General features: G+C 41.5%; 1 protein-coding gene and 1 long non-coding RNA gene across 7 annotated transcripts in view; both read left to right on the forward strand.

Annotated features, from left to right (window-relative positions):
• Positions 1-7,651, forward strand: part of OSBPL9 (oxysterol binding protein like 9) — a 270,948-nt gene that overhangs the window by 35,862 nt on the left and 227,435 nt on the right. For 2 of the 4 annotated variants that reach the window (NM_001416294.1, NM_001416293.1), the window contains exon 2: positions 6,749-6,890. The exons of the other annotated variants lie outside the window; for them this stretch is intronic. The gene's annotated coding sequence lies outside the window, so the exon portion shown is untranslated. The remainder of the gene's footprint in view (positions 1-6,748; positions 6,891-7,651) is intronic. 4 annotated transcript variants of the gene reach the window in all.
• Positions 1-7,651, forward strand: part of EPS15-AS1 (EPS15 antisense RNA 1) — a 61,039-nt gene that overhangs the window by 35,862 nt on the left and 17,526 nt on the right. Inside the window, exons 2-3 of one of the 3 annotated variants that reach the window (NR_183652.1) lie at positions 6,749-6,890; positions 7,338-7,504. This is a non-coding gene — a long non-coding RNA (EPS15 antisense RNA 1). Of the gene's footprint in view, positions 1-6,748; positions 6,891-7,337; positions 7,505-7,651 lie in introns of those variants that run through there. The other 2 variants (NR_183653.1, NR_183651.1) reach the window with 2 other exon arrangements.

Raw genomic sequence — 7,651 nt, forward strand, 5'->3', positions numbered from 1 at the left:
ACAGGAAGACTCTGTCTCTTACAGATACAGGTATAAATATAAATACATATACATACACACACAGAGGGAGAGAGAGAGAGAAACTGCAGGGAAAAACAGATGCATAATTGTAGCTGAAGACTTGAACATCCTCCTCTCAGAAACTGAGACAGCAAGGCTTGGATAGTATAATTAACATATTTCAACAATTCTACATCCTATACAAGAGTAGACTCTAGACGGTTAAAAATTTAATAAACATGAAGAGTAAAACTATAAAGAAAAATATAAGAGACTCATAGTTTGTGACTCAAAATGGAAGGCAAAACTTCAACAAGTCAAAGGCTGCGGATGACTTTGGGTACTTTATACTCTGAATTTCAGTTCCTACACCTGAAAAATGGAAGTAATAATATCTGTCTTGCTGGATTGTTTTAGGGCTAAGTGGGATAGCGTTTGGAAAGTGCTGACAGAGCCACAAGTACACAATTATAGATGTCCAGTGAACATGAGTTCTTTCTCCCACCTCTCAGGGCCGAGTGACCAAAAATGAGACAAAGACTATGTGGCTGATTTTTGAAATGCAAAGAATAGTGAACAACTGAGGAGTCAGACATTCCCCAGGTCTTATTTCTAACTTTTTGAGCAAACTCTTCATCATTTGTAAGAAGGAAATTGTCAAAGATGCTGACAGATTTTACCTGTTGAAGTGAAAACAACAGGATTATTAAAACTAGGTGCCTAAATGTCGAAGGGCTTAAAAAGCACCTGGAGACCCTTGCTAAATGCATATTCCCAGGCTACTGGCCCAGAGGTTGTAATCAATAATTTGGGTTAGACAAGGAAATACAAGGGTTATTAATAACACAGAGGGTCCAAAATCCTGTACTGCCCTAGCTGATCTGCTCTAGAACAAAGTTAATTTAGTTTCCCAAGAATCTATGCTCCTTATGCCTCTGAACACTATTTTAGAAGGTTGTGAAGTAACTTTTATCACTCTGCTAGCCTCCAAATTGGTGCCCACTGGCTCTTGCTCCAGCTCAGATTGATAGTGCCTACTTCTGATGATACTTACATATAGATGCCTTTAAAAAGGTGGCTGGGCGCAGTGGCTCACCCCTGTAATCCCAGAACTTTGGGAGGCCGAGGCGGGCGGATCCTGAGGTCAGGAGTTCGAGACCAGCCTGACCAACATGGCGAAACCCTGTCTCTACTAAAAATACAAAAATTAGCTGGGCATGGTGGCACGTGCCTGTAATCCCAGCTACTCGGGAGGCTGAGGCAGGAAAATCCCTTGAACTAGGGAGTTGGAGGTTGCAGTGAGCTGAGATAGCGCCATTGCACTCCAGCCTGGGCAACAAAAAAGGTTCTCTCCTTAATCAGAAAAACTAAAAGACCATAGTAAAAGGAAAAGGTTCAACAAGAAATGCAAGCAGAATTTAAGATTCTTTTTTTATTTTATTTTTATTTTTTGAGAGGGAGTCTTGCTCTGTCGCCCAGGCTGGAGGGCAGTGGCATGATCTTGGCTCACTGCAACCTCCACCTCCTTGGTTCAAGTGATTCTCCTGCCTCAGCCTCCTGAGTATCTGAGATTACAGGCATGTGCCACCATGCCCGGCTAATTTTTTTTTGTATTTTAGTAGAGACAGGGTTTCACCATGTTGGTCAGGCTGGTTTTGAACTCCTGACCTCAAATGATCCACCCGCCTTGGCCTCCCAAAGTGCTGGGATTACAGGTGTAAGCCACTGCGCCCAGCCAGATTCTATACGATGCAGATCATGTACTATAGTTCTCTATTTTTTTAAAATAACATTTTTAATATTTACAATGGAAGGAAAAGATTAATGAAATCCATCATATGTAATATTTTCCATGTTTGTTTATTGAATGAGAAAGGAACAGAATACAAAGAACACAAGTCATGGAGTCAGACCAGCTCAACCACATACTAGCTGTGTGATCTCGGGCAAGTTTGCTCAATCCCTGTAAGCCTAGTCCCTATAAGTAAAGTAGGGAAAATAATAACTCCCTGACAGTAATTTCATGAGACTTAGCGATAATATAGGTAAAGCACACTGTCTAGCAGTTAATTGTCACCCAATAGACACTAGTGGCTATTATCATAACTTTTCAGTACCTGAGTATGTTTCAAAAAGGGCAAAATGATGGTCATTTTATAATTTTTTACTTTTGCAGTAAGTTAAATAAATCATGAAGTCAATTTCATGGGAGTATTTGTATAACCAACTGGAAAGTCTGTAGCATGAGTAATCCCATGTCCCTCCCTAGGCTTTGAAAAAACCCCTGCCTTGAACTCATGGAGTTAGAGAGCAGAATGATAATTACCAGAGACTGGGAAGGGTGAGAGTGGAGCTGGGGGTAGGGTGCTATGAGTAGTGGAGATGGTTAATGGGTACAAAAACATAATTAGGTAATTTCAGAACTTTGGGAGGCCGAGGTCAGGACTTTGAGACCAGCCTGGCCAACATGGTGAAACCCTGTCTCTGCTAAAAATACAAAAAATTAGCTGGGCATGGTGGCGGATGCCTGTAATCCCAGCTACTTGGGAGGCTGAGGCAGGAGAAATGCTTGAACCTGGGAGGCGGAGGTTGCAGTGAGCAGAGATCTTACCACTGCACTCCAGCCTGGATGACAGAGTGAGACTCTGTCTCAAAGAAACAAAAAAAAAGTATATATATACACATATATATGTGTATATATATACATATATATGTATATATATATCTCAAACTAAGTAGAATGAATAAGATCTAGTATTTGATAGCACAAAAGATGGCTATAGACAACAGTAATTTATTATACATTTAAAAACAACTAAAAGATGTAATGGGACTGTTTGTAACACAAAGACAGGGTAAATGCTTGAGGTGATGGATACCCCATTTACCCTGATGTGATTATTACAAGTTGCATGCCTGTATCAAAATATCTCATGTACCCCATAAGTATATATACCTACTGTGTACCCACAAAAACTAAAAATTGAAAACAAAAACAAAAAACCCTGCCTTACTGTTTCATGGCCAAAAAAGTTTTCTTGTTTTTAATAAGAAAGGCTTTTATTTGGCTTACATTACCCAACCAACCTTGCCTCCAAGAGAAAGACAAGTGATAAAATAGCCACTTTGAATAGAGATAACTATTTTGCTAGGAGCCAATTTTTAACAATTGGTTTTTAAAATTCCTTCTGCATCTTTAAGATATTTTCTTACCTTTGGGATTTTTTTGAGTTGTCAGCAGTCTTGTTAGGAGAACTGCCTATTTGTTGGCTTTTCCATTTTCCCTACTTTCATGAGAACTACTCCTAATCTCTCTGGTCTTTTTAGTGCCCCTTTGCCCCCATTGCCCTTACATTAAACTCATGGGCTATGAGAGTGCCAGTTCTGCATCCTAACTGGTAATCATGGTCTACTTGTATCTTCTCTGTAAAAGAACTGTGAACTGTGTTCGACTAAAGCCTAAGGCCCTAAGGAATTCATTGAAAGTTACCTGTGCTATCCCACTTGAGTAATAACATGTAAAGAGTATAGGTTTGGGCACTTGTTAGAGATGGGCCCTGACAAATCAAGTCTCCTCGCTGAGTCCTCAGTGTTCTCATCAGTAAAATGGCAACGGTAAGTCCTACCCTCTTGGCCTCACAGGGATATGGCACAGACCATATGATGTAAGGGATATCAATGTGCTTTGTATTATTGAAACCACCTTTGCAAAAATTATGACAGTGAGAAAAATCTGACATAGGAAAATTGTGACAGTGAAAGAAATCTGACCTAACCAACTCTATCTTGCTTCTAACCTCCAAGCTGCCCTTGTTCATTCCTGGCCATAGGCCAAACTAACTATAGGAGAAATTTAGTTTATAATCTAATTTAAAAAAAAATCATGCCTGTAATCCTAGCACTTTGGGAGGCCAAGGCGGGCAGATCACGAGGTCAGGAGATCAAGACCATCCTGGCTAACACGGTGAAACCCCCTCTCTACTAAAAATACAAAAAATTAGCCAGGCGTAGTGGCGGGCGCCTGTAGTCCCAACTACTTGGGAGGCTGAGGCAGGAGAATGGTGTGAACCCGGGAGGCGGAGCTTGCAGTGAGCCAAGATTGTGCCACTGCACTCCAGCCTGGGTGACAGAGCCAGACTCCGTCTCAAAAAGAAAAAAAAAAGATAATAACAGCCCCTTCCCAAAACAAACCCCCTCCTTCCTTGCTTGGGGACCAGACTGCCTTTGTAAACTAACAAAATAGAAATTATGACTCAGGAGTCATGCAGCCAGAGGCCACCTCCCCAATTCTCCTATAGATAACATCACTATTGTAAAACCTAAGATTGGTATTTGAGGTATTTTTCCGACTCTGCATTCTGATGCAGAGTGCAGCTGGCACTACCCAAATTGATAAACTGGCTCATCTGGTCTTGTGACCCCCACCCAGGAACTGACTCAGCTCAAGAGGACAGCTTTGACTCTCTGATTTCACCCTCCACCCAACCAATTGGCATTCCCCATTCCCTAGCACCCCGCCTGCCAAGCTATCCTTAAAAAAATCCTAGCCTCCAAATTTTCGGAGAGGCTAATATGAGTAATAATAAATTCCTATCCTTCCGCTTAGTGAGCTCTGCATTTATTAAACTCTCTGTTGTGAAAACTTGCTGTTCTCAGTGCCCCGGCTTTTCTGGGCAGTGGGTCAGATGAACCCATTGGGTGATGACATTATGACTAGGTTATACTCATTGTGGCTAGACTATACTCATTCCTTCAAAGATCATAAGGAGTCCCAATGGTAAGAGGAAAATTTTCTTTGTTCTCTACCATCTCCTCCCAGCCTCTGTGCTGATTTAAAAAACAAAACAAACAACAACAACTAAAAACAATGCAGTCACTTCCACCAAAGAAAAAAAGGTAAAGGGGTTGTGTTTGGAGGTGTCAGAACAGGGAACAGGAGGGGTCAGGGATTAGGCAGGAAAGTTGACCATCTTACTAGGCTGGGACCAAGGAGGGATGGGGAGGGGATCTGGGCTGCCAGAGCATCTGAAGGCTGGAAATTGGGGCAGGGGAAGGTGAGGGAATTCCCACCCATCTCCATACTGAGAGTCACTTGGATTTCCAATAAAGGGCAGGGACCCCATGGTAACCTGGATGTTCTGGGCTGGCTGAGTGTGGGGGTGGGGGTTGCGGGGGATGGTGGAGTAGGACCTGTGAGTGTCAGACCCGATTAGAAGTTAGAAGAAAACATGCTCGCAAGGGTAATGTCAGCATTGTGCAGAATTCTCTCTCTCTCTGTCTCTTTAAAATACAGACACACACATACATACACACACACACACACACACACACACACTCCTCACAAAATTAAGAGACAATGCTGGAGTTTTAGAAATGTAGTCTCTTGGGCTTCACTGCAGACCTACTGGATCAGTATCTGTATTTTAATAAGACCCCCCATTTTATTCATATGCATGTTAAAGTTTGAGAAGCACTCCTCTGGCATGGTTTAAATTCTTCAAATACTAAGGTTTGCCTGCTTACAGAGGTTGATAGAACCCAGAGCAATTAGTGTCAAATACTTTTAATTTTGTATATGAACAAAGATACAGTTTAAAATGTGTACCTTAATGTTTTCAGTGGGGGGATAAGCATTTTAATGAAATAATCAGATTAGGCATATTAATATGGTCACATATGTTTACAAGATGTAGAAAGTTCTCCTTATGTATTAAAAAGAGACAACTGTAAAAAAAAAATAACAATGCAAAGTGTATCCACATTCTTCAAATTAGATAGGAAGAAAAGAAAAGAAAGATACAATGTGTCCCTTCCTCCCTTCCTTCCTTTTCTTCTGAACCCTTCCCCACTCCCCAACACATGCTCCTGGTTATTTACATACATGACCTCCTTGTACTCCTATGTTGGTCTTCTTAAGCCAGAGAAGCAAGAAAGTATAAATAAATAAAGTAGAAAATAAATAAACAAACTAAGAAAGCTTCAAATAGAGGGCGTCTGTCCCAGAAACCTTCGGTGGCTCTGAACTGTAGAAATCACTGATCAGAGACACTGAGACACGTGGCCATGGGACTTTGCAGGATATACCCAAGGACAGGTGGCTGTGGCTTCCAGAGGCTCTGTTGTACAGTGGGTGTAATCAATACAGCAAAGGCTTTAGAGGCTGACAGACCTATGTTTGAATCGTGTCTCTACCATGCGTTAGCTGTGTGCTCTTGGACATGTCGCTTGGTGTTTCTGAGTCTCAATTCTCTCAAACATAAAATGAGGAAATAATAAGGGATAATAGTACTTACCTTATAGAGTTGTGAGAATTTGGGGAGGTAATGTAGGTAAAGCACTCACCCCAGGCCAGTGTTTAACAAAAGTGAGTTCCCTTCCTCTCCAGGGGAATTCTTCATCCAGGACTTTGTAGATTATAGTTTCTAACAGACTCCTGGGAGGAATCATGGCCAAGGCCTTTACTCTGGGGCCTTGAGCCACTCTCTTTTCTCCTGATTTGGGGAGGAGTCCTCCCCATCTTTCTTAATAAGTCTCAGAGAAGAAAGAGATGGAGAGGACAACAACTTTTTAAAGGCTGGCGTATTGGTCCCCTCCTTTTTACCTTCCAATTAAAGGAAAGAAGACTGGCAGAGAGAGGGAAGCTGGGTCAGGACTTATCATCATGGCTGGGGCAATCACCCCTAACATCTGTCCGGGAATTTTAATGTTTCAGAGTTTTACCACATCTCTGATTTCCCTTTATCCCTAGAAGCACCTCCAAGGATCACGTAGGACCAGCAGAAGCAGCGTAAAGTATTGGAACTTTGAATCTGACATCAGAAAGACCTGCACTCAGCCGGGCACGGTGGCTCACGATTGTAATCCCAGGCCGAGGCGGTGGATCACTTGAGGTCAGGAGTTGGAGACCAGCCTAGCCAACATGGTGAAACCCTGTCTCTACTAAAAATAGAAAAATTAGGCAGGCGTAGTGGTGCATGCCTGTAGTCCCAGCTACTCAGGAGGCTGAGCCAGGAGAATCACTTGAACCCAGGAGGCAAAGGTTGCAGTGAGCTGAAATTGCATCACTGCACTCCAGCATGGGTGACAGAGTAAGTGAGACTCTGTCTCAAACAAACACAAAAAGAGCTGTACTTAAATTCTAGCTTTTCTACTTACCTTAACAGATGTATGTCTTCAGGCAAATTATTTAACTTTTCTGAGTCTCCTTTTCACATTTAGAAGTAGGAGACTTTCACAGTGTCATATTTTCACCCCCATCAATATTATTGATGCTTGCTCATTTTCTAATGTGGGACCTGAAATTTACCAGGTGCTTAAAGAATCTTTTTGTTTTTCAGATTCACTGATTCTAGGTAAATCAGAGGAACAAGCAACATGAACAGAAAAAATGTAGAAAATGCAATTATGCTGAAGTACAATTGTTGTTTCAGAAGTCCAGCATCTGGTGTACTTAACAATAGAGAATATATTAAATTTTTCCAAAATAAAAAAAACAAGTAGGAGACTCGCTAGTGAAAATTAAATGGCATATGCAAAGTCTTTAATACAGCATTTGGTACATGAGAGGGACTCAGTAAATTTTAGTAACTTATAATTATTAGGAAGACTATGACTGCCCCCATTTAAAAGATCAGCAGTCTGAGGCTTATAA

Source organism: Homo sapiens, chromosome 1 (genome assembly GCF_000001405.40).
Source record: "Homo sapiens chromosome 1, GRCh38.p14 Primary Assembly".
Classification (NCBI taxonomy): Eukaryota; Metazoa; Chordata; class Mammalia; order Primates; family Hominidae; genus Homo; species Homo sapiens.